This window comes from Homo sapiens, chromosome 1 (assembly GCF_000001405.40).
Source record: "Homo sapiens chromosome 1, GRCh38.p14 Primary Assembly".
Lineage (NCBI taxonomy): Eukaryota > Metazoa > Chordata > Mammalia > Primates > Hominidae > Homo > Homo sapiens.
The window spans coordinates 27,223,637-27,250,239 of record NC_000001.11 but is presented as its reverse complement, the minus strand read 5'-3'; the positions used below and the strand labels follow the sequence as shown (position 1 = coordinate 27,250,239).

The 26,603-nt window shown below is 46.3% G+C and overlaps 1 protein-coding gene and 1 long non-coding RNA gene across 11 annotated transcripts in view, besides 4 other annotated features; one reads left to right on the top strand and one right to left on the bottom strand.

Moving 5' to 3' along the window:
- Positions 1–15,799, bottom strand: part of WDTC1 (WD and tetratricopeptide repeats 1) — a 74,196-nt gene extending 58,397 nt beyond the window's left edge. For 4 of the 9 annotated variants that reach the window (NM_001276252.2, XM_047449761.1, NM_015023.5 and 1 more), the window contains exon 1: positions 15,289–15,608. The gene's annotated coding sequence lies outside the window, so the exon portion shown is untranslated. Of the gene's footprint in view, positions 1–4,770; positions 5,049–14,928; positions 15,044–15,288; positions 15,609–15,726 lie in introns of those variants that run through there. The other 5 variants (XM_047449749.1, NM_001410767.1, XM_047449760.1 and 2 more) reach the window with 5 other exon arrangements.
- Positions 14,929–14,978: a silencer, noted in NCBI's record as "silent region_506". NCBI's record gives its function as "represses an Ori minimal core promoter by ATAC-STARR-seq in GM12878 lymphoblastoid cells {active_cell/tissue: GM12878}" and the evidence as "EXISTENCE:reporter gene assay evidence [ECO:0000049][PMID:35858748]".
- Positions 15,139–15,188: a silencer, noted in NCBI's record as "silent region_505". NCBI's record gives its function as "represses an Ori minimal core promoter by ATAC-STARR-seq in GM12878 lymphoblastoid cells {active_cell/tissue: GM12878}" and the evidence as "EXISTENCE:reporter gene assay evidence [ECO:0000049][PMID:35858748]".
- Positions 15,379–15,528: a silencer, noted in NCBI's record as "silent region_504". NCBI's record gives its function as "represses an Ori minimal core promoter by ATAC-STARR-seq in GM12878 lymphoblastoid cells {active_cell/tissue: GM12878}" and the evidence as "EXISTENCE:reporter gene assay evidence [ECO:0000049][PMID:35858748]".
- Positions 15,729–15,788: a silencer, noted in NCBI's record as "silent region_503". NCBI's record gives its function as "represses an Ori minimal core promoter by ATAC-STARR-seq in GM12878 lymphoblastoid cells {active_cell/tissue: GM12878}" and the evidence as "EXISTENCE:reporter gene assay evidence [ECO:0000049][PMID:35858748]".
- Positions 15,811–20,609, top strand: WDTC1-DT (WDTC1 divergent transcript). Of its 2 annotated transcripts, XR_947117.2 has the most exons (3): positions 15,811–15,978; positions 16,638–16,795; positions 20,470–20,609. It is a non-coding gene; the product is annotated as a WDTC1 divergent transcript (long non-coding RNA). The 2 variants fall into 2 exon arrangements; XR_007065560.1 differs by having other exon boundaries at positions 15,886–16,795.
- The last annotated feature ends 5,994 nt before the right edge of the window (positions 20,610–26,603 follow it).

The window sequence follows — 26,603 nt, the reverse complement described above, 5'->3', positions numbered from 1 at the left end:
ACTCCAGCCTAGAGGATACAGAGAGACTCTTATCTCCAAAAAAGAAAAAAAGAAAGTACATAACAGTATCGTATCTAGATTGTAGTAGGTGCTCAACAAATGTTAGCTAAATTTGAATTCTACTAAAACCTGGTAACCCCTGTTATATTTGCTCAGTAGCATGGATTATAACATTTCCCCCGCCCCAATTTCCCTACCAGAGATGAAGCTGACAAGGGGTATTTCATTGTAGGATGGCAGGGGCAGAGTATAGGATGTCTTTATCACCTGTTAGGTTTGAAACGCAAGATCAGAAGGAAAATCGTGACGTTGTTAAAAGTGAAGAAATGCCACACAAAAATCTGTGCAAGAATGTATTTATAGCAAGGCCAGGTGCACTGGCTCACACCTGTAATCCCAGCGCTTTGGGAGGCCGAGGGAGAATCACTTGAGGCCAAGAATTTAAGACCAGGCTGGGCAACACAGCAAAATCCCGTCTCTACAAAAAATAAAATTAGCCAGGTGTGGTGGCCATGCATCTACAGCCCTAGCTACTCAGGAGGCTGAGGCAGAAAGATTGCTTGAACCCAGGAGTTTGAAGTTACAGTGAGCTATGATCATGCCACTCCAGCCTTAGTGAGAGTGAGATTCAGTCTCAAAAAGAAAAAAAAAAGTTTAGAGCAGCATTATTCATAATAGCCAAAAGGTGGAAACATCCATCAACTGATAAATAGATAAACAAAATGTGGTATATCCATACAATGGAATGTTATTTGGCCATAAGAAGGAATGAAGTACTGATACATGCTACAACATAGGGGAACTCTAAAAATATTATGCCAAGTGAAAGAAGCCTACATATTGCATAATTCCATTTATATAAAATAGAACAAAATAGAATAGAAATAGGAAGTAGATTAATGGTTGCTTAGGGCTGAAGGGAATGGGGGGATAGAGAAGTGACAGCTAAAGGATATGGCTTTTTTTTTTTTTTGAGACAGTCTCACTCTGTTGCCCAGGCTGGAGTGCAGTGGTGCCATCTTGGCTCACTACAGCCTCTGCCTCTCAGGTTCAAGTGATTCTCATGCCTCAGCCTCCGGAGTAGCTGGGATTACAGGCATGCACCATTATGCTCGGCTAATTTTTCGTATTTTTAGTAGAGATGGGGTTTCACCATGTTGGCTAAGCTTGTCTTGAGCTACTGGCCTCAAGTGATCTGTCTGCCTCAGCCTCCCAAAGTGCTGGAATTACAGGTGTGAGCCACTGAGCTGGGCCGGGATATGGTTTCTTTTTAAAAAATTTAAGGCTGGGTGCAGTGGCTCACGTCTATAATCCCAGCACTTTGGGAGACCAATGTGGGAAGATTGCTTGAGCCCAGGAGTTTGGGACCAGCTGGGAAACATGGTGAAACCCTGTCTCTAAAAAAAGTTAAAAAATTAGCTGGGCGTGGTGGCACACCTACAGTCCCAGCTACTTGGGAGGCTGAGGTGGGAGGACTGCTTGAGCCCAGGAGGTTTCGGCTACAGTGAGCCAAGATCACACCACTGCACTCCAGCCTGGGAGACAGGGCAAGACTCTGAATAAAAAAAAATAATAATAAAAAGTTTTTAAGTGAAATTCACATAAGATGAAACTAATCATTTTAAAGTGTATCATTAACAGACAACCTATAGGATGGGAGAAAATACTTGCAAACTATGCATCTGACAAAGGTCTAATATCCAGCATCTATAAGGAACTTAAACAAATGTGTAAGAAAAAAACAATCCCATCAAGTGGGCAAAGGACATGAACAGACACTTTTCAAAAGAAGACATACATGTGGCCAACAAGCATATGAAAAAAAGCTCAGTATCACTGATCAATAGAGAAATCCAAGTCAAAACCACAATGAGATACCATCTCACACTAGTCAGGATAGCTATTATTAAAAAGTCAAAAAATAACAGATGCTGGTGAGGTTGCAGAGAAAAGGCAACACTTTTACACTGTTAGTGGGAGTGTAAATTAGTTCAACCATTGTGGAAAGCAGTGTGAAGATTCCTCAAAGAGCTAAAAACAGAACTACCATTTGCCCTAGCAATCCTATTACTGGGTATATACCCAAAGGAATATAAATAGTTTCACCATAAAGACACACACACTGTGCAGTATGTTAATTGTGGCACTATTCACAATAAGCAAGACATGGAATCAACCTAAATGCTCATCAACAGCAGATGGGATAAAGAAGATGTGGTACAGGCTGGGCACAGTGGCTCACGCCTGTAATCCCAGCACTTTGGGAGGCCGAGGCGGGCAGATCACCTGAGGTCAGCAGTTCAAGACCAGCCTGGCCAACGTGGAGAAACCCCGTCTCTACTAACACTATAAAATTAGGCAGGCATGGTGTCAGGTGCCTATAATCCCAGCTACTTGGGAGGCTGAGGCAGGAGAATCACTTGAACCCGGGAGGCAGAGGTTGTAGTGAGCTGAGACTACGCCATTGCACTCCAGGCTGGGCAACAAGAGTGAAACTCCATCTCACAAAGAAAAAAAAAAAAAAAAAGAAAGAAAATGTGGTACATGTACACCATGGAATGACCATGCAGCCATAAGAATGAGATCATATCCTTTGCAGGAACATGAATGGAGCCGGAGGCCATTATCCTCAGCAAACTAAAGCAGAAACAGAAAACCAAATATGGCATGTTCTAACTTGTAAGTGGAAGCTAAATGATGAGACTTCATGGACACAAAGAAGGGAACAACAGACACTGGAACCTACTTGAGGGTGGAGGGTGGGAAGAGGAAGAGGATCAGAAAAAATAACTATTGAGTACTAGGCTTAGTACCTGGGTAACAAAATAATCTGCACAACAAACCACCATGACATGAGTTTACCTGTATAAAAAACCTGCACAAGGCTGGGCACAGTGGCTCACATCTCTAATCCCAGCATTTTGGGAGGCTGAGGCAGGTGGATCACTTAAGGTCAGAAGTTCAAGACCAGCCTAGCCAACGTGGTAAAACCTCGTCTCTACTAAAAATACAAAAATTAGCCAGGCGTGGTGGCAGGCACCTGTAATCCCAGCTACTCGAGAGGCTGAGGCAGGAGAATCGCTTAAACCCAGGAGGCAGAGGTTGCAGTGAGCTGAGATCATGCCACTCTGCTCCAGCCTGGGCAACAGAGGGAGACTCTGTCTCAAAAAAAAGTTTAATTAATTAAATAAATAATAATGCAGAAATAGGCTGGGTGCGGTGGCTCACGTCTGTAATCCCAGCACTTTGGGAGTCCGAGGTAGGAGGATTACTTAGGCCCAGGAGTTTGAGGCTGCAGTGAGCTATGTTTGTGGCACTGGACTCCAGGCTGGGTGACAGAGTGAGACCCTGTTTCGAAAAAAAAAAAAAAAAAAAAATGGCTGGGCGTGGTGGCTCACGCCTGTAATCCCAGCACTTTGGGAGGCCGAGGTGGGCAGATCACCTGAGGTCAGGAGTTCAAGACCAGCCTGGCCAACATGGTGAAACCCCATCTCTACTAAAAATACAAAAATTAGCCGGGCGTGGTGGCGGGCACCTGTAATCCCAGCTACTCAGGAGGCTGAGGCAGAAGAATCGCTTAAACCTGGAAGGCGGAGGTTGCAGTAAGCCCAGATCGTGCCATTGCACTCCAGCCTGAGTGACAAAGCAAGACTCAGTCTAAAAAAAAAAAAGGAAAGAAAACACATGTCCATACAAAAAGCTGTACATGAATACTCAGAGCAGCATTATTCATAATAGCCCAAATTAGAAACAACCCAAATGGCCATCAATTGATGAATAAATATAATGTGTTAATATCCACTGTAATGGAATATTATGCAGCCATAAAAAGGAATGAGGTACTAATTCATACAACAACATGGAAGAAACTTCAAAACATTCTGCTAAGTGAAGGAAGCCAGTCACAAAAGACTACATGTCGTATGGTTCTATTTATGTGAAATGTCAAGAATAGGAAAACCTACAGAGACAGAAAGAGATGGGAGTGTTGGGGAGGAATGTGATAGCTCAAGGGTATGTGTTTCTTTTTTAGGTGATGAAAATGTTTTGGAATTAGATAGTGGTGACAAGTTGCACAACTTTGTGACTATATTAAAACCAATGAATTGTATAATTTAAGAGACTGTCTATTTTATGGTACGTGAATTATATGTCAATAAAGAAGAAATACCTTAAACCCTTTGCTCTCTCAGTCTATTCTGCCGTTTGTAAAATGAGAGGTGGACTCTGAGATAAGCTACAAAACCCCTTCCGATGACACTATGCTGAGATTTTAAGTAGACACTACTGGTTAGCAGCAGACCAGAGATGGAACCTAAAACATCTGTATTCTCTTTCCTCTGGACATGCTACCTCCCATAGCATGTCCCATAGGATTACAGTGGCTCATGCCTGTAATCCCAGCACTTTCTGGGAGGCCAAGGCGGGTGGACCAGGAGGTCAGGAGTTCGAGACCAGCCTGGCCAACATGGTGAAAGCTCGTCTCTACTAAAAATACAGAAATTAGCTGTGCATGGTGGCAGGCACCTATAATCCCAGCTACTCGGGAAGCTGAGGCAGGAGAATCGTCTGAACCCGGGAGGCGGAGGTTGCAGTGAGCCGAGATTGCGCCATTGCACTCCACCCTGGGTGACAGGGCAAGACTCTGTCTCAAAAATACAAACAAACAAAAAAAAAAAACCAAAAAAAACCCTTTCTTTTCTCTACCTCAAAATCACAGGTTATGGAAAGAAAATTCCATTCTTAGCCTTTCCTTCATCTGTCTCCTACCTTGAGCTGTGGTTATTTACGTGGCTTCTCTTTCTTAGAAGATTAAAAGCATGCTGAGGGCCTGCTCTTCATCCGATTCATCCATTGATCCCACTGGTCTTCCAGGAGTGATGTAAGCTTAGCAGGCACCAATAAATATTTGCTGAATGAATAATGGCATGACTGCCTTACACACAATGTTTTATACCTATCAAAGCACTTTTGTTCAAGCTTTTAATTTGAACTTTGCAACAATCCTTTTAGGAAGTTAGAAAGCTAATATAACGCTGCTATGAATAATGCTGCTATGAATATTCATGTACGATAATAATCCCCATTTAACAAGGGAGAAGTGAAGCAGAATACTACATGGTACTGAGGAAGAAGCACTGGACTGGGAGATCTAGGGTCTTGTGCTCCAAGCCAGCCTCTGCCTTTAACTGGCTGTATGACCCTGAGTGAGGCATTTTGCTCTCTCAGTCTATTCTGCCGTTTGTAAAATGAGAGGTGGACTCTGAGATAAGCTACAAAACCCCTTCCGATGACACTATGCTGAGATTTTAAGTAGACACTACTGGTTAGCAGCAGACCAGAGATGGAACCTAAAACATCTGTATTCTCTTTCCTCTGGACATGCTACCTCCCATAGCAGAGACGTGCCCCCAACCAGGGTGACAACTGACCCCCTTTCAACATTCTGAATTATGCAAAGATGTATGCAAGTTTCCTTTCACTCTATTTATAGTGGTTCTATTGGAGCAATCCTACAAAAAAGATGAAAGATGCAACGAAGCAAGGACTCAACTTCACTTTCAATGCATAAAGGTCATTGGAAATAACATAAGGCCAGGTGTGGTAGCTCATGCCTGTAATCTCAGTGCTTTGGGAGACCGAGGCAGGAGGATCACTTGAAGGCCGGGAGGTCGAGAGCAGTCTGGGCAACAGAGTAAGATCCTGTCTCTATAAAAAAGTTTTTTAAAAATTAGCCAGGCATGGTGGCACACTCCTGTAGTCCTAGCTACTAGGAAGGCTGAGGCAGGAGGGAGGAGGGAGAATTGCTTGAGCCCAGGAGTTTGAGGCTATATTGAGCTATGATTGTGCCTCTGCACTCCAGCCCGTGTGACAAAGTGAGGCGCTGTCTCAAAAACAAAACAAAACAAAAGAAAGAAAGAGCATAATAAAATGAAGAGTGTAGCTGTGGACCTAACAGATCTTAGGTTCAAATCCCAGTTCTGACACCTATTTTCTGTCTGACTTGACATTTCTTTTAAATTTTTTTTTCTTTTCTATACCTCTTACGTCTCTTCATCTTTTTAATTTTTTTAAAAAAATTTTTATTTGTTTTGAGACAGGGTCTGGCTCTGTCACCCAGGCTGGAGTGTGGTAGCATGATCTCAGCTCACTGCAACCTCTGCCTCCCGGGCCCAAGAGATCCTCCCATCTCATCAGCCTCCCGAGTAGTTGGGACCACGGGCATGCACCACCCACACACACCTGGCTAATTTTTGCATTTTTTTTTTTTTTTTTTGTAGAGATGGGGTTTCACCATGCTGCCCAGGCTGGTCTCGAACTCCTGGGCTCAAGCGATCTGCCCACCTCAGCCTCCCAAAGTGTTGGGATTATAGGCATGAGTCACCATGCCAGACCCTGACTTGACACTTCTAAACCTTAGTTTCCTAATCTGATAATACCTACCTCTGCAGGGTGAGGAGGAACAGAAGCGCTTGCATGTAAAATGCCTGACACTGATCCTATTAAATAATATTTATTGAACATTCTAACAGTTTACAAGTGTCATCTCACAGACTCCTCATAATAATCCTATGAGACAGGTGCTATTGTTATCCTCATCTTACAGATGCAGGATCTGAGGCACAGAAAAGTGAAGTTGCCAAAGCTACACAGTTCTTAGACAGAGAGTCAACCTATACAGTCTGACTCCAGGGGCCAGGCCATTGGCCACTAAATAATAATTACTGGGCCGGGTGTGGTGGCTCACACCTGTAATCCAGCACTTTGGGAGGCCAAGGCGGGCAGATCACTTGAGGTCAGGAGTTCCAGACCAGCCTGGCCAATGTGGTGAAACCCTGTCTCTATTAAAAATACAAAAATTAGCCGGACATGGTGGCAGGCGCCTGTAATCCCAGCTGCTGGGGAGGCTGAGGCAGGAGAATCACTTGAACTCAGGAGGCAGAGGTTGCAGTGAGCCAAGATCGAGATCATGCCACTGCACTTCAGCCTGGGTGACAGAGTGAGACATTGTCTCAAAAAAAAAAAAAAAAAAAAAAAAAATTACTGGCCAGGGAGCAGCGGCTCACACCTGTAATATCAGTATTGATACAATTTCAGGAAGCTGCTGAAACTTTGTCTCTTACCATTCCTTAGGGTTAAGCTGCCTTGACTCTGCTGATCTCAAACACAAATTTAAAGAGTGCCATTTCAAGGTCATGGACTAAGTTGGTACAAGGACAGTTTCTGGGAAAGCTTTCGCTGGTAGGATAGACTCATCACCAAAGCATCTTCAGGAAACTTCTTAGCCATCTTTGAGGCTCCTGGCTTAAATAATCCCATGTAGGACTGCTTGAGGTTTTCTCTGCAGAAGAGAGCTGCTTCTAAGCAATGCTTTACTTTCTGGGAAGCTTTAGATAAAAACTCACCTTGATGTCTTCTCCCCTGCCCAGTGGGCTCCGTATTGCTGTTTGAGCTTTTAAGAGACAGGGTCGCCTGGGTGCGGTGGCTCACGCCTGTAATCCCAGCACTTTGGGAGGCCGAGGTGGGTGAATCACCTGAGGTCAGGAGTTTGAGGCCAGCCTGACCAACATGGTGAAACCCTGTCTCTACTAAATACAAAAAATTAGCCAGGCGTGGTGGTGCATACCCGTTATCCCAGCTACTCGGGAGGCTGAGGCAGGAGAATCACTTGAACCCGGGAGGCAGAGGTTGCAGTGAGCCGAGATTGCACCATTGCACTCCAGCCTGGGCGACAGGAGCGAAACTCCGTCTCCGTCTCAAAAAAAAAAGAGACAGGGTCTAGCTCTGTTCCCCAGGCTGGAATGGAATGTAGCACTATCACAGTTTACTGCAACTTTGAACTCCTAGGCTTAAGGGATCCTCCTGCCTCAGCCTCTTGAGTAGCTAGGATTACAGGTGCAAATCACCATGCCTGGCTACTTTTATTTTTATTTTTTGTAGAGATGGGGGTCTCATCATTTTGCCCAGGCTGTTCTTGAAGTCCAGGCCTCAAACAATCCTCCCATCTCACCCTCCCAAAGTGCTAGGGTTACAAGTGTGAACCATCTGGCCAGGCACGGTGGCTCATCCCCGTAATCCCAACACTTTGGGAGGCCAAGGCAGGAGGATCACTGGAGGTCAGGAGTTGGAGACCAGCCTGGCCAACATGGTAAAACCCCGTCTCTACTAAAAATACAAAAATTAGCCAGGCGTGATGGCACACGCCTGTAATCCTAGCTACTCAGGAGGCTGAGGCAAGAGAATCGCTTGAACCCAGGAGCCTGAGGCTGCAGTGAGCCAAGATTGCACCACTGCACTCCATCTTGGGTGACACAGCGAGACTCTCAAAAAAAAAAAAACAAAAAAAAACAGTGTGAGACATCACACCCAGCCACTTGTTTGAGCTTTGTGAAAATTTTTTCTGGATGTTTTCAGAACTTTGTTTTCCAGTGATCATAGCTAATTTTCCTGTCTGCTCTTAGGCCTCACAATTACCTTAAGATAGTGGAAGGAAACAGAGAAAAGGGAGCATATTTTGATAATGCTATACTCTCTCACTATTTAAAAGCATCTGCAGTCTTTAACTTGCATCCTGACAAATCCTGCCACAATTCAAAATATCTCTTGTAGAGAAGGCTCTGGAGTTTCATCCTGTAACTCTACTACTAGCTGCAAGGTCAAGGAAAACTAAACCATTCAAGTTAGAAATGTTTCCTTTCTAACTCAGTGACAGTAGTGTTATATCCAGATGTGTAACTCAAAAGGGAACCAGGTAGGCCATCAGCACCCAAACACTCAGGCCTCAACTATGAAGCTCCCTGACCATGAATGCCTAGCTCCCATTCTCAGGAAGGCCCCCTAAGAGGTTCAAGGATAAGCAGTTTTATAGAATTTGGGGGGTCATGAATAAGGACAAAATTGTACAAAAGTCCTGATCCAAACACTGCCCTCAACAGCCTCTGGAGAGCTCCCTGGGCAAGGTCTGATCCTGTTCTCCACCCCATCTCCAAGAAAATGGGGTTAATACCTCCCCAGATGGCTATACGGAGGATTAAGGGTCATTATTCTTGGCACTGAGCTCTGTTACAGCTCTAGCAGTTGTGACCTTGTATCCTAAAAGAAGATAATAAATACAAAAATGCCAACGGTGACCCTCAAATCTGGCTCTGCAGTAGTAGCTGAGAATTTTCTTTGCACAGGGCCTCTGACACTGCCTCCTATACACTCTGGCCTTTTGACTGCATCCTCCCCTTATTCAGGCTTAAAGTTTTTTTGTTTTTTTTTTTTGAGATGGAGTCTCACTGTCACCCAGGCTGGAGTACAGTGTTGCGATCTCAACTCACTGCAACCTCCACCTTCTGAGTTCATGCGATTCTCCTGCCGCAGCCTCCTGAGTAGCTGGGACTACAGACACCCGCCACCACGCCAGGCTAATTTTTGTATTTTTAGTAGAGACAGGGTTTCACCACCTTGGCCAGGCTGGTCTCAAACTCCTGACCTTGTGATCCGCCCACCTCAGCCTCCCAAAGTTCTGGGATTACAGGCATGAGCCACTGCGCCCAGCCCAGGCTTAAAAGTTTTTAAGGTATTAGTCTTCAATGCCACAAAGCCCTTCAAGGAGTCAGCAGCTATTACTTAATAGCTCAAAGAATGGGCCCTAGAACTCTCAGAGTTACACATAGGCCTGAATTTACCCAGAAGAAGCCAACTAAGTGGTATTCCTTTACATCCAAGCCCTGGCTCTTGAGGGCAATCAGTGAGGTCTAGTAAAAAGGATATATTTCATCATTTAGTCCTCAAAAACCCACTAAAAAGTAGGTACTACAATAAGCCTCATTTTATAGGTGAAACTATAGCTCTGAGAGGATACATGATTGGCCCTAGGTCACAGAGCTAAGGAGGAGACATGGGTTCAAATATCAGCCCTACACTACTAGTTGTGTAACCTCCAGCATATTCCTTAACTTTAGTCTAGAGTCTCAGTTTCTCATTTGTAAAGTGGGGATAATGGTAATACCTTCCTTCCAGGGGAGCTCTGAAGATTATAAGAGACATTATAGAAAAAGTAGAGCTGGGCCTGGTGGCTCATGCCTGTAATCCCAGCACTTTGGGGGGCCAAGGTGAGTGGATCACCTGAGGTCAGGAATTCGAGACCAGCTTGGCCAACATGGTGAAACCCCATCTCTACTAAAAAAATACAAAAATTATCCAGGCATGGTGGCGCGCACCTATAATCTCAGCTACTCAGAAGGCTGAGGCAGGAGAATTGCTTGAACCTAGGAGGCGGAGGTTGCAGTGAGCAGAGATCGTGTGCACTCCAGCCTGGGCAATAAGAGCAAAACTCTGTCTTAAAAAAAGAAAGAAAAAGTATCTAGCAAGTGCCTGGTATATACTAAATATTCAATACATGTTAGTTTTTTTGGGTTTTTTTGGTTTTTTTTTTTTTTTTGAGACAGAGTCTCACTCTGTCCCCCAGGCTGGAGTGCACACGATCTTGGCTCACTGCAACCTCTGCGTCCCAGGTTCAAGCAATTCTCATGACTCAGCCTCCCAAGTAGCTGGGATTACAGGTGTGCACCACCACGGCTGGCTAATTTTTTGTATTTTTAGTAGAGACAGGTTTGCCATGTTGCCCAGGCTGGCCTCCAACTCCTGAGCTCTGCCCACATCAGCTTCCCAAAGTGCTAGGATTACAGGCATGAGCCACTGCACAACTGGCTTTTTTTTTTTTTTTTTTTTTTTGAGACAGGGTCTCTGTTGCCCATGCTGGAGTTCAGTAGCGCAGTCTTGGCTCACTGCAACCTCTGCCTCCTGCACTCAAGTGATGCCCCCGCCTCAGATTCCTGGGTAGATGGGAATACAGGCACATGCTACCACACCTGGCTAATTTTTAAATTTTCTTTTTGTAGAGACTGGGTTTCACTATGTTGCTCAGGCTGGTCTCAAACTCCTGGGCTCAAGCAATCCACCCACCTAGGCCTCCCAAAGTGCTGGGATTACAGGTGTGAGCCACCGTGCCAAGCCATGTTAGGTTTTACAGATCAAACAGACAGGGAGGCTGGGCATGGTGGCTCACACCTGTATTCCCAGGACTTTGGGAGGCTGAGGTAGGCAGACTGCTTGAGCCCAGGAGTTTGAGACCAGCCTGAGCAACATAGTGAAACCCCATCTCTATGAAAAAATTAAAAAATTAGCCAGGCGTGATGGCACACACCTGTCTTCCCATCTACCCTGTCTCATAAAAAAAAAAAAAAAAAAAAAGCCAGGAGCGGTGGCTCATGCCTGTAATCCTAGCACTTTGGGAGACCGAGGCAGGTGGAACTCAGGAGTTCAAGACCAGCCTGGGCAACATGGCAAAACCCTGTCTCTAATAAAAATACAAAAAAATTAGCCGGGGCTGGGCGCGGTGTCTCACACCTGTAATCCCAGCACTTTGGGAGGCTGAGGCGGGCGGATCACCTGAGGTCAGGAGTTCAAGACCAGTCTGGTCAACATGGTGAAACCCCATCTCTACAAAAATACAAAAATTAGATGGGCGTGGTGGTACATGCCTATAATTCCAGCTACTTGGGAGGCTGAGGCATGAGAATCACTTGAACCTGGGAGGCAGAGGTTGCAGTGAGCCGAGATCATGCCACTGCACTCCAGCCTGGAAGATGAAGTGAGGCATGGGAATCACTTGAACCTGGGAGGCAGAGGTTGCAGTGAGCTGAGATCATGCCACTGCACTCCAGCCTGGATGACGAAGTAAGACTCTGTCTCAAAGAAAAAAAAAAGATGTGGCAAACTCTCTGCTTGAATATCTGCAATGATGGGTAACTCACTCCCTCACAAGGCAGCCCATTTTGTTTTTAGAAAGCTACATTATCTCCTATCAAACCAAAGTCTACCTTCTTGGAAATTATGTCATTTAATCCTGAGATGCCTTCTAGAATCACAGAGAACATCCAGTTTCCTTTCCCCATGACAATCTTCAAGTATTTGAATGAGGTATCATGTTCCCCCAGGCTCTTAGCCTTGGTCTTTTCAGTTCTTCTTCATGTGTCACAGTCCCAGAGGCAATTCAATATCACAGAGCAGAGAGACCTGGGTTTGAATTCCAGTCCTTCCTCTTACTTGCTGTGTGACCTTAAGCAAATAACTTAATTTCTCTGAATCTGTTTCTTCATAGGTATAATAGGGAAAATGATTCTCACCTCACAGGACAGTCATGAAGGTTACACTGGATAAAGTAAAAATACTAGCTAGCACTGAGCTCAAGATATACCAGGCCCTGAATAAAATGTCAGTCACTTTTTAGGACATATCCCAACTGGCAAATACCTCTCAAAGTAAATTAACTACACCAAGGAACTGGCTTCTTTCTTTTTTTTCTTTTCTTTTCTTTTTTTTTTTTTTGAGATGGAGTTTCACTTTTGTTGCCCAGGCTGGAGTGCAATGGCACGATCACAGCTCACCGCAACCTCCACCTCCTGGGTTCAAGCGATTTTCCTGCCTTAGTAGGAAAATCCCTCCTGAGTAGCTGGGACTACAGGCGCGTGCCACCATGCCCGGCTAATTTTTTTTGTATTTTTAGTAGAGATGGGGTTTCACCGTGTTAGCCAGGATGGTCTCAATCTCCTGACCTCGTGATCTGCCCACCTCAGCCTCCCAAAGTGCTGGGATTACAGGCGTGAGCCACCGCGCTCAGCCAGGAACTGGTTTCTAATAGCAACTGCCAGAACTTTGGCTTTTCAAGAGATGACAGCTAAGAAAGTACAACCTAAGGGTTTTGTGGGCCCAGCAATCTGCAATGGCAGCCTAAAGATACAGTGGAGCATCTGGAAAGGTGAGGTGGAAAGAAGAAAGGAAACAGAATAGATAACTAAACCAGTGACCCAAAGAAAACACAAGTATCACCAGATTACATGTTCTGTTTGACTTCCTCTCTGAGACTCAGAACTGCACATGTCAGCAACATTCCTTAATTTTTAAAAAGAGAGAAGAGAGTGGTCACGGAGGCCGTGTCTGTAGTCCCAGCTACTAGGAAGGCAGAGGTACGAGAATCCCTTGAGCTCAGGAGTTTGAGACCAGCCCAGGCAACAGAGTGAGACCCCATCTCAAAAAAATAAAAATAAAAGGAGAGGCCAGGTGCGGTGGCTCACACCTGTAATCCCAGCACTCTGGGAGGCCGAGGTCGGTGGATCACGAGGTCAGGAGTTCAAGACCAGCCTGGCCAAGATGGTGAAACCCCATCTCTACTAAAAATACAAAAATTAGCTGGGCATGGTGGCAGGCACCTGCAATCCCAGCTACTTGGGAGGCTGAAGCAGAGAATTGCTTGAACCCAGGAGGCTGAGGTTGCAGTGAGCTGAGATCGCGCCACTGCACTTCAGCCTGGGCAACAGAGCAAGACTCCATCTCAAAAAATAAATAAATAAATACATACATACATAAAGGAGAAAAAAATAAAAATAATTAAAGACCAAGTCATAGTCTAGATCTTCCTTAGCAGTTGGCCCAAGATCCACAAATGTTTGGCAGTGGGCTTCAAGATTTTCAGTTGTCTTTCCAGATCCTAAAGTCTAGGTGTGCAAAAACACCCTACATAAGATGCCCAATGAGTCAATACTGAACTCCTCCCGGCTAAAAAAAACTGTCAATTGTATGAAACTGGTAAATAGTTGTTAACATCATCATCATAATATTTACACGTGTTCTCTCTTTCCCTCGTGACCCTCAATGAAGGTGTCCCAGGCAGAAATATGGGCTACTGCTCAATTATTCGGCAGAGTTGATCCAAAAGCACTGTTCCTTCAAATTGAGATAAGACTCGAACAGAAGTGCTCCCATATAGGTCAAAAAAGGAAAGGAGAGCAGGACTCCAGCCTTAAAGCAGCATGATCACAAACTATGACGGAAAAGGTCATTTCCCACCTGCCAACGAAATACAACAACCTACAATGAAGAAACCTCAGTAAGTCTCAGACTTGGCCCAAAGGAGCCCAACTAGTTACTCCCTGGTCTGTTACAGAGGATCTGGCTATTACACTCAACAGCAAAAATTCAATTCAATCCCGCTAAAGATATAAGAATCACAAGGAAGAATAAGCCAGAACTCAAGACAGAAATAGCATTAAGTAGTTCCTTCAGTACAGTGAGCAGAAGCTGGCCACTCAACGACTCTAAAAGACACAGAAAAGCTTAGTAGGGACCACTGGGCATACCGGTGTCCTAGGTGGGGATTTCGTAACGTCTTTGAGTCAGAAGCTGCCCTCAAAATAGTTTCTTCTCAAAACGGTTTCAGGCTTTGTTAGAAAGGGAAGACTTCACTGCCACTTTACCCAGATCATCTACCCCATCCTTGGAATGAATGGGGAAGCTTCAGCCACCCTACCAGGCTCCTAAAATCACCAACTTGAGAGAAAAACTATAACGTTGCTCTACCAGTACTTCAGGAGGTTAAAGAAAGTCACAGAAGAAAAGAACTCTGGGGAAAACAGTCAAATTCGGCTATTAAGACATTAGTTACAGGCCCCTGTACCTCTCCTCTAGAAACCCTGGGAGTACACCCGCAGAGGAGAGAGAGCCCAAGCCACCAAGCAAAGTCAACCAATCTGGCAAAGGGGCGTCCCACTGCGGCTTTCAGTCCAAGAAGTGGATCCTGCTGGTTCGCAGTCTCTCTTCTATCTCCTCACTTCCTATTTACCCTTTGAAGTGGGTACTGAATAGCCCGTTCCCAAGCAGAGGCCCTTTGTATACGGGGTGCTACAGTCGCCTGGTGGAAACACCTTGGCAGAGTTGTTTGGTGCCAGGATGGGCCACTGAAGGCATCTGCTGTGGACACACACACACACACACACACACACACACACACACACACACAGAAAGAGAGAGAGAAAAACAGAAAGAGAGAGAGCGAGAAGCTAAGAGGGCAGGTCAGGTCGGCGTTGCCCTCCCAGCACTTACACCTGCCCCTTCTTCCTGACTCCGGCGCCAGATCAGATGTCAAACAAAAACTCCGCAAAAAAGTCCCATGATGGAATGACTTCCACCTCTCCCTCCGCAGAGCCTCCCCGGACTCCCACAGCCTCCCCCCGCGTCCCGACCAAACCCTCCGCCCCCACCCCGCCCCCGGACCACTCTGCCCTCCGCCCCGGCGAGGCCTGGCCCCTCTCGGGACACCCGGGGCCCCGAGGCGGGTAGGCTCAGGCCCCCAGGCCGGCAGGGCTGGAGCCGGCCCAGAGCGGGCGGCCCGTTCACCGGGGCTGCGGGAGCCGGTCCCCGCCTCGGCGCCCGCGGAGGGCAGGGGGCGGCGGTGACCCGTACCTGTCAGGTCTCTTCCCCCGACCGGCAGCGGCGCAACTTCAGGAGCCCATGTCCGTCCGGGGGGGGCGGCCCCTCTCCCGGGAAGGGGGGCGCGGATCCCGGGGAGGGGGCTGGGGGGCTCGAGCAGTTCTAGCCCCTTCCCATGCTCCCCGCCCGGCGCCTGGCCGGGGCCGGACAGCGCCTCCGCCCGCCCCTGCGCACCGCCTCACACCCGCGCTCACACACACTCACACTCCCTCGCGCGCTCTCACACACGCACTCCCCTCCCTCCTCCTCCTCTGTTTATCTCCTCCAGCTGTCTGGGGACCCAGGAGAAGCCCAGCAACGCGCCTGCGCCACGCAGTCTCCGCCTCCGCCCTGCGCCTCGCAGCCGGCGGGTACGCTACGAAGACTGCGCCCGGCCGCTTCCAGAATGGCTAGCCGGGCCCCCCCACTTACCCCCCCGCGCCCGGTCAACGTCTGCTGCCGGCGGCGCCCACTAACCTGCTAGTGGGGGAGCCCCGCACCGCCGTGGCCAATGGGCTTCGCCGCTTGCGGGACCGGCAGCCAGTGGGCGGGCGGGAAAGCTGGGCTAAGCCCTGGGGCACCCTGGGAGTCGTAGTTTTTCGCCGTCGAGGAGTTCCTGCAGAGCGGGCTCACCCCGCCCGGTTGCCATTAGTTACCCGGACGCACCTCCCACCCCACCACCGGGTAAAACGCTCCTCACACCGCTTCTGGGACACCCGCCCACACGCTCGCCCACTGAACCCCAGGTCCCCTCACAGCCCCTTAAGAGCTCCTAAGACTTCCTCTCAGCCCCCGAATTCTGGGACCTCTCAGGCTAGGGCCCCGGGGGGCTCCTCAGCCCACTCCTTCCTGCTCTGGGGGGCTGCTGAAGTGGCACAGTCCTCACTGACGTCTCCTGGGCCTTAAGGAAGAGAATGAAAGAGAATCGGGCCTACGCTGAGTAGCCTGGAGAGGAGTCAGCCACACACACTCTGGGTGCCCTCGGGGTGATGGGAGCGACTAGGTCCATCTGACCCTAGCGGAGTCACTGCTGCTCCCACCTCTGAGGAAGAGACGCAGTTCCAGCCTTGTGGAGTCCCGGGTCTGATGGAGGAGAGACCCTCCTCTTTATTAAGGAAGTTCCCAAGGTGACAAGGGTGGCACTAAGCCTATCTTCTTAAGGCAGAGACCAGGCCCCACCCGTGAAACCTCAAGTCAGAAAGGGAAGACGTGTCACCTTCTGACAAAGGAAACTTGTCACCCATAGGGTGCCATTTGTCAGATACTAACAATAATTCACTTTTATTCGCACTGGATTGGGTACAGTCTCTTAGCTAGGTACTATTGCTGTCTGTGTTTTGCAGAAAAGGAAAGCTGAAGCAGAAAGGCTAAAAGCAACTTGCCCCCGGGGTCCTGATAAGTTGGCAAATTGGGAATTAGACCCAGATCTGCCTGACACCAGAGTCTGAGCCTTTTAACACTGCCTGTCTTTCCTGTGAAAACCAGACAGCACCCGCTCTCAGTAAGGACTGAATATATGTATTTGGCATTTATAGTGTTTATCACTCCATGTGTCGCTTGTTTTTTTTTTTTTTTTTTTTTTTTTTTTCCAATTCTGCTCACATCATGAGTACGAATTTGTCTGTGAATACCTGAATACTCCCAGAGACAAAGGTAGTATTCTAATTGCTGGTGATTTCTCCGCAAGGGAGATTTCTCCCCATTTAGAGGAGTAAGAACCTATCCTTGTGAAACCGCTCACAAAGCCTTTTATGCCTTTCTCCTAAAAATATTGTGGGTCATTCCCCCTGAACTCTCCACCACAGCTGTTCTACTGAATATAAAAAATCATAGACTTTGGGACTAGAAGAAAGCTTTGAGATCATCTATCTGCAGCTCCCCAGGTTCAGGCTGCAACCTTGGTTAGGGTCATTGGGTTAATTAAACTGAATAATATCTAACATTTATTGAATACTTACCATGGGAGATAAGTGCTACTAGTGAATTAAGAAATACTCCCGGGCTGGGCGCGGTGGCTCACGCCTGTAATCCCAGCACTTTGGGAGGCAGAGGCGGGCGGATCACGAGATCAGGAGATAGAGACCACCTGGCTAACACGGTGAAACCCCATCTCTACTAAAAATACAAAAAAATTAGCCGGGCGTGATGGTGGGCGCCTGTAGAACCAGCTACTCGGGAGGCTGAGGCAGGAGAATGGCGTGAACCCGGGAGGCGCAGCTTGCAGTGAGCCGAGATCGCGTCACTGCACTCCAGCCTGGGCGACAGAGCGAGACTCCGTCTCAAAAAAAAAAAAAAAAAAAAAAGTAAAAGAAAAAGAAACACTCCCGGCCGGGCGCGGTGGCTCACGCCTGTAATACCAGCACTTTGGGAGGCCAAGGGCGGGTGGATCGCCTGAGGTCGGGAGTTCAAGACCAGCCTGGCCAGCATGGTGAAACCCCGTCTCTACTAAAAATACAAAAATTAGCCGGGCGTGGTGGCGCGTGCCTGTAATCCCAGCTACTCAGGAGGCTGAGGCAGGAGAATCACTTGAATCCTAGAGGCGAAGGTTGCAGTGAGCCGAGGTCGTGCCACTGCACTCCAGCCTGAGCAACAGAGAGAGACTCCATCTCAAAAAAAGAAAAAAGAAAAGAAAGAAAGACAGACTCCCACAATCACATAGCTAGGAAGTGGTACAGTTGGGATTAAAGCCTACACTATTCAAATCCAGAACCCTCATTTTTAAATCATTTTAGCATCCTGTGTTTTTGGCAGAGACCACCCCCCCCCCCACTTTTTTCTTCTTTTTTTGAGACAGAGTCTTGCTCTGTCGCCCAGGCTGGAGTGCAGTGGGGCAATCTCTGCTCACTGCAAGCTCTGCCTCCCGGGTTCACACCATTCTCCTGCCTAAGCCTCCCGAGTAGCTGGGACTACAGGCGCCCGCCACCAGTTTGTCATTTCATTTAGTACAGACGGGGTTTCACCGTACTAGCCAGGATAGTCTCGATCTCCTGACCTCGTGATCCACCCGCCTCTGCCTCCCAAAGTGCTGTCACTACAGACATGAGCCACCGCGCCCGGCCAGAGAACCCCCATTTTAAAGTCTTGTTTAATGCTGGCAAGGTCACAGAGGATCTTAGATATACTGATAGAGAAGAGTGGGTGATGTTTCTGTGACTCCTAGCACAGTCTATGGCACATAGCAGAAACTCAGTAAATATTTGTTGTCAGAATGAACTTTCGTTGGTAGAGACTGATGACAGGAAGAAGACTATTTCTTTTGAGACGGAGTCTTGCTCTGTCGCCCAGGCTGGAGTATAGTGGTGCAATCTCGGCTCACTGCAACCTCTGCCTCCTGGGTTCAAGCGATTCTCCTGTCTCAGCCTCCCGAGTAGCTGGGACTACAGGCACATGCCACGACGCCCGGCTAATTTTTGTATTTTTAGTAGAGATAGGGTTTCACCATAATTGGTCAGGCTGGTCTCAAACTCCTGATCGCAGGTGATCCACCTGCCTTGGCCTCTCAAAGTGCTGGGATTAGAGGCATGAGCCACCTCGCCCCACCAGGAAGAAGACTATTAACAACTGCAGTTACTATTTATTATTTTCTAATAGATACCACTCGTACTCTTACACTTGCTTGAGTTTCTCTCTTTCTCACTTCCTCTCTCTCCATATAGGCAGAGACCTATACATAAATCTATACATACATATGTGTACACGCACGCACACACACCCATATACATTAACACACACTAACTCATTTGCTTCTCCCAACCACGTTGTGAGTTAGGTATGATTCTTACTCCCATTTTACATAGAAGAAACAGAGACTCGGCCAGGCATGGAGGCTCACGCCTGTAATCCCAACGTTTTGGTTCCAGACCAGCGTGGGCAATACGGCAAAATCCTGTCTCTACAAAAAATATAAACATTGGCCAGGCGCGGTGGCTCACGCCTGTAATCCCAGCACTCTGGGAGGCCGAAGCAGGCAGATCACGAGATCAGGAGTTCGAGACCAGACTGGCCAACATAGTGAAACCCCGTCTCTACTAAAAATACAAAAGTCAGCTGGGCATGGTGGTGCGTGCCTGTAATCCCAGCTATTTGGGAGGGTGAGGCAGGAGAATAGCTTGAACCCTGGAGGCAGAGGTTGTGGTGAGCCAAGATCACGCCACTGCACTCCAACCTGGGCAACAGAGCAAGACTTCGTCAAAAAAAAAAAAAAAAAATTAGGGCAGGCATGGTGACTGGGCCGGGTGTGGCTCATGGCTGTAATTCTATCACTTTGGAAGGCTGAGGTGGGAGGATCACTTAAGGTCAGGAGTTTGAGACCAGCCTGGCCAACATGGCCAAACACTGTCTCTATTAAAAATACAAAAAAAAAAAAAAAAAAAATTAGCCAGTTGTGGTGATGCGTGCCTGTAGTCCTAGCTACTTGGGAGACTGAGTTAGGAGGATCGCTTAAACCTGGGAAGCAGAGGTTGCAGTGAACCAAGATGGCACCGTTGCACTCCAGCCTGGTACACAGAATGAGACCCTGTCTGGAAAAAAAAAAAAAAGGAGAAGAAAGAAGAAGATGGTTAAGTTCAAAATCAGACACATGCTTCCCAGCCACAGGTGTTTTCAGATTATGAAATAATTTTCTTTTTCTTTTTCTTTTTTTTTTTTTTTCAGACGGAGTCTCACTTTGTCACCCAGGCTGGAATGCAGTGGCGAGATCTCGGCTCACCACAACCTCCGCCTCCCAGGTTCAAGCGATTCTCCTGCCTCAGCCTCCCAAGTAGCTGGGATTACAGGTGCACACCACCACACCCGGTTAATTTTTTTTTATTTTTAGTAGAGACAGGGTTTCACTATGTTGGCCAGGCTGATCTCGAACTCCTGACCTTGTGATTTACCCGCCTCGGCCTCACAAAGTGCTGGGATTACAGGTGTGAGCCACCATGCCCGGCCTAAAATAATTTTCTAACCAATAGAGTTGGACTACTTTGAGAGGTTGTAAGTTCTTTGTTTCTGGTAGTATTCAAGTACAGGCTATATACACATGTGTCCAAGATACTCTAGAAGCAATTATTGCATTAGGTAGATATTTAATTAAGTGACCATTTCCAATTTTTTTATTTGGCTCTTGGAAACAGACAAGGATTATTCAAATAAAGCTATGACAGTGAATGTTGCTGTTTTTTCTCTCCTAAGAGCATGAGATGATGCCTCAACTGATCACCAACTCTGCAGAGGCAGTCACTGATACTATCATTTTCATCTCCTAATTGGATTCCTAGGCAAAAGTGGACATATTCAACCTACAATTAAAGATGCTTATATTTTACAACCCAGCAATTCTACTTCTGATATCTTAGGGGATCTATTGCATGTGTGTACGAGGAGACATTGGCAGGAATATTCCTTCCAACTGTATTATAATAGCAAAAATGTTGAAACAACCTGTCTTTCTGTAAGGGGAATCAATGGATGAATTGTGGGTTAGTCATACAATGGAGTACCATACAACCAATTAAATGATTTACATGCCATCGAGATAGATAAATCTTAAAAACATAATGAGTTAAGGAAGTTTAAAGATAATACATTCAGTATGGCATTTATGTAAAATTGAACACAAAAATGTCATATATTTATAAATATATATGTAGAAAAATACAAAAAGTTAAATGGGAAAGACAGCAATTTTGGGAGAGTGCTTACTTCTTTTTTTTTTTTTTTTTAACAGTACTACTTCTGGCCAGGCTGGGTAGCTCACAACTGTAATCCCAGCACTTTGGGAGGCCGAGATGGGGTGGATTGCTTGAGTCCACGAGTTTGAGACCAGCCTTGGCAACATGGCAAAACCCCATCTCTACTAAAAAATAAAAAAAAAAAAAAATTAACTGGGCATGGTGGCACACCTGTAGTCCCATCTACTAGGGAGCCTGAGGTGGAAGAATCACCTGACCCCGGGAGGCTGAGGCTGCAGTGAGCCCAGATCATGCCACTGCACTCCAGCCAGGGCAACTGGAGTGACACCCTGTCTCACAAAAGCCCCCCAAACTCCCCAAAACAGTACTGCTGCTTGTGGAGCAGGGCTAACTCATGGGCAGTACATTCTGAATCAACCAGCGAGTGTGCTCACTTCTAAGAAAGAGGAAGAAAAGAGGTGGGGACGGGATTTTAGCTGTATTTATATCATTTTATCTCTTAAAAAAAGAGATTAGAAAAAAGATTAGAACTAAATATAATATTTATATTAAATATTAAACAAAATGTTAAACATCACTTTTATCTTGGTGGTTATATTATCTGTAGATTTCTGAATATTTGAAGTAGTTTCTAATTAAATATTACCAATTTTTTTTTTTTTAAACAGAGTTTCACTCTTGTCACCCAGGCTGGAGTACAGTGGCGCGATCTCGGCTCACTGCAACCTCTGCCTCCCAGGTTCAAGCAATTCTCCTGCCTCAGCCTCCCAAGTAGCTGGGACTACAGGCACGAGCCACCATGCCTGGCTAATTTTTGTATTTTTTGTACAGACAGGGTTTCACCATGTTGGCCAGGCTGGTCTCCAACTCCTGACCTCAGCTGATCCACCCGTCTTGACCTCCCAAAGTTCTGGGATTGCAGGCATGAGCCACCACACCTGGCCACAAATTTTTTTTTAATTAAATGAAGAAAAAAATCCATCTTGACAGGCACTAAGCCTGACTAAAAGTTAAAGGTCTGTAATCTCTATACTGTGATAATTATTATCATACAAAAATGTCATCTTTTTTTTTTTTTTTTTTTTTGAGACACTGTCTCATTCTGTGGCCTAGACTGGAGTGCAGTGGTAGGCTCCTAGCCCCCTGTAGCCTCAATCTCCTAGAGTCAAGAATCCACCCACCTCAGCTTCCTGAATAACTGAGACTACAGGCATGCACCACCACTCCTGGCTAATTATTATTATTTTTTTTAGAGATGGGATCTTGCTATGTTGCCCAGGCTGGTCTTAAACTCCTGACCTCAAGCAGTCCTCCTGTGTCAGCCTCCCAAAGTGCTAGGATTACAGATGCGAGCCACCATGCCCAGCCTCATACAAGAATTTCATTGTTTAAACAATAACAACAGTCTGGGTGCGGTGGCTCATGTCTGTAATCCCAGCCAAGGCAGGAGGATCACTTGAGGCCGGGAGTTTGAGATTAACCTGGCCAACATGGGGAAACCCCTGTCTCTACTAAAAATACAAAAATTAGTGGGGCATAGTGGCGTGCACCTGTAATCCCAGCTACCCAGGAGGCTGAGGCAGGAGAATTGCTTGGACCCGGGAGGCAGAGGCTGCAGTGAGCTGATATCTGTGCCACCGCACTCCAGCCTGGATGACAGAGCAAGACTCTGTCTCAAAAAAAAAAAAAAGAAAAACAAAACACAGTAACAACGAAGAAGTATTACCTCCTTTTATTTCATTTAGGACTTTTGGTTGCAAAGCGTCTTGGGAGTACAATCTAAGTCACCATGAGAAAAGATAGAGACCCACTGATTTTAGTTAGTTCCTTCGTTTAACCAAGGAGAAAACTGTGGCCTAGAACAATTTGGTAACTTGTTTAAAGTCACAAATCACCAAGAGCCCAAACTCTAAACTCTAGTCCAACTCATTGAGAGTTTCCAAACTTCTCTTGTGCATATACTGTACCTGTGTTCCAGCTGTGCCTTCCACTTGGAATCACTCTCCTACTCCCATCCCTGTTCCTTCTCTAAAATCCTACTTAGCTAGGCTAAGAAAGAATTCGCCAATCTAGGCCCAGTGCGGTGGCTCACGCCTGTAATCCCAGCACTTTGGGAGGCCAAGGTGGGCAGCTCATGAGGTCAGGAGTTCAAGACCAGCCTGGCCAACATAGTAAAACCCCGTCTCTACTAAAAATACAAAAAATTAGCTGGGTGTGGTGGCACATGCCTGTAATCCCAGCTACTCAGGAGGCTGAGGCAGGAGAATCACTTGGACCCAGGAGGTGGAGGTTGCGATGAGCAGAGATGGCACACTGCACTCCAGCCTGAGCGACAGTGTGAGACTCTGTCTCAAAAAAAAAAAAAAAAAAAGAAAGAAAGAAAAAAAAATTAGCCAATCTTACTCCCCAGACTCGAGTCTGAGTGGGCCCTAATCAGCTTCCCTTCTCTGTACCTTCACTTCTCTGCTCAACCTTTTAAAATTTTCATTTATTAAATTTTTTTTTTTGTTTTTGTAGAGACAGGATCTCACTTTTTTGCCCAGGATGGTCTTGAATTCCTGGCCTCAAGCAATCCTTCTGACTCAGCCTCCCAAAGTGCTGGGATTAAAGGTTGAGCCACTTCACCCCGTCAGCAGCACGTTTTCTTGTTGGAACTATTCTGATCATTAAGCAGTTCTTCTTAATGATAAAGTTCTAACTTCCACTTATTTGTCCCAGCTCTGTTATCTGTGGCAACATAGGTTTTGTATGTTAAATGAGGTGATTTTTGTGTAAACTGTTAAGGTCTGGGACAATTTGGGGGGATTAGCAGGAGCGGTAGTCATAATGATCCCTTTTGCCCTTAATAAAGCTTCAAGGGCTAGGTGCAGTGGCTCATGCCTGTAATTCTAGCAGTTTTGGAGGCTGAGGCAGGAGGATTGCTTGATCCCAGGAGTCTGAGGCCAGCCTGGGCAACACAGCGAGAGCCTGTCTCTCCAAAAAAAAAAAAAAAAAAAAAAAAAAAAAACCTTCAGTGCGTGGTGGCTCACACCTGTAATCCCAGCTACTTAGGAGGCCTAGACGGAAAGATAGTTTGAGGCCAGGAGTTTGAGACCGACCTGGGCAACACAGAGAGACCTCATCTCTGAAAATACTTTTTAAAAATATTAACCAGGCATGGTGGCATGGTGGCATGTGCCTGTAGTCCTAGCTATGTAGGAGGATGCCTTGAACCCAGGAGTTCAAGGTTACAGTGAGCTATGATCGTGCCACTGCACTCCAGCCCAGATGACAAAGTGAGACCCTGTTTCTAAAATAAAAATAAAAACAACTTCAGGCAATGAAACGTTCATGTCCCCACTAAGCCTTCTGTTTCCTAAGCTAAACGTCTCCATTCCAATCCAGCCAACAAAGGCAAAGATTGCCACCAGTGAAAACATTCATGAGACTATGTCAAGAAAACCTGTGGCATTTCCAGGAGTCATTCCAAAGATGTCTATGCAATGATGGCCCCCCTAGAAGAGTTAGATCTGTTAAGACTGTTTTCAGTTGCAAATAACATGCAATCCAACTAGCAGTGGCTTAAACATATGAGGTTGAGCTTTCTCACCCAGCAAGTCCCGAGGTGATTATTGTAATTAGTTCAGCCATTCAACATAATTTATTTCTATCTTTTTTCTGTTCCAGAATCCTAAGTTTTAGTTGTTCACTATAGTTACAAAATGGCTGCTGTAGCACCAAGCATCTCAACTGTGTTCAAGGCAAAATGAACAAGAGAAAGGGAGAGGCACTAGCTGCTTTTTATCAAAAAAGCAAAAGCTTTTTCGAAGACCCCAAACAGATTTCTATTTATATCTCACTTGCCAGAGCTACGTCTTGTAACGACCTCTATCTACAAGGTAGATCTGGAAAAGTCTGGAAAGCAATTATTTAGTATTCCTAGCCTCTATATGGCAAGAGAAGGCAAAGGAAAATAAATTGAGGCATGGATTTGAGCTAGCCAACCAGGAATATCTGCCACAGAACATTTCAAGGTGATAATTTTGGGCAGAACTCAAATCCATGGCTCAAACCTAGTTCCATATGGACAGACTCTCAGCTGTGTCAGTCAAAATCAGAGGGGATAGGCCAGGCACAGTGGCCCACACCTGTAATCCCAACACTTTGGGAGGCTGAGGCAGTAGGATTGCTTGAGCCCAGGAGTTCGAGACTAGCCTCAGCAACATAGCAAAAACCCATCTCTACAAAACAAAACAAAACAAAACAAATCAGGGGTATAACTTCTGCTAGTCAAACTCAGAAAGGACATATCAAATAGAATTCCAGGGGCCAGACGTGGTGGCTCACGCCTGTAATCCCAGCACTTTGGGTGGCCAAGGAAGGGGGATCACTTGAGGTCAAGAGTCTGAGAACAGCCTGGCCAACATGGTGAAACCTCATCTCTACTAAAAATTTTAAAATTAGCTGGGTGTGGTGGCACGCACCAATAGTCCCAGCTACTTGGGAGACTGATAGCAGGAGAATCGCTTGAACTCGAGGTGGAGGTTGTAGTGAGCTGAGGTTGCACCACTGCACTCCAGCCTAGATGACAGAACAAGACACCATCTCAAAAATAAACAAACAAATGAACCAAAACAACAGAATTGCAGTGTTTTAACGTGCTGTGGGGAATAGTTGTTAACCTTGCTTGACAACAGAGATAGAGCATGGTTCCTCTCTCAGGGAGCAGGTTAGTGCATTAAGGCACTGAAAAACGAAGACTGTTACCTGTTAGATGAACAGGTTATTTAGCCTTTTTATATCTTGTAAATAGGGTATACCATATGTCACCACCTTATAAATAGAAATTCACAGTATGCTCGTAGAAGACATTGAAATAATGAATTTCAAATTTTAAAACTGACACCACCCAACTTCCAGATTACTATAAAGCTACAATAATTGGCCGGGTGTGGTGGCTCACGCCTATAATCCCATCACTTTGGGAGGCCGAGACTGGCGGATCACCTAAGATCAGGAGTTGGAGATCAGCCTGGCCAACATGGCGAAACCTCGTCTCTACTAAAAATACAAAAATTAGCTGGGTGTGGTGGCACACACCTGTAATCCCAGCTACTTGGGAGGCTGAGGAGGAGAATCACTTGAATCCAGGAGGCGGAGATTGCAATGAGCCGAGATCATGCCACTATACTCCAGCCTGGGTGACAGAATGAGACTGTGTCTCAAAAAAAGAAAAAAAAAGCTACAATAATCAAAAGAGTGTGGTACAGGTGAAAGAATAGACAAATAGATTAATGGAACAGAATATAGAACTCAGAAACAGACCCACACAAAGGCAATTCAATGGAGAAAGGATAATTTTTTTTTTTTTTTTTGAGACAGAGTCTCACTCTGTCACCCAGGCTGGAGGGCAGTGGCATGATCACAGCTCACTGCAACCTCAACTTCCTAGGCTCAGGTGATCCTCCCACCTTAGCCTCACAAGTAGTTGGGACTACAGGTGTGCACCACGACACCTGGCTAATTTTTGTAATTTTGGGTAGAGATAGGGTTTTACCATGTTGCCCAGGCTGGTCTCCAACTCTTGGGCCCAAGCAATCTGCCCACCTCAGATTCCCAAAGTGCTGGGATTACAGGCATGAGCCACCATGCCTG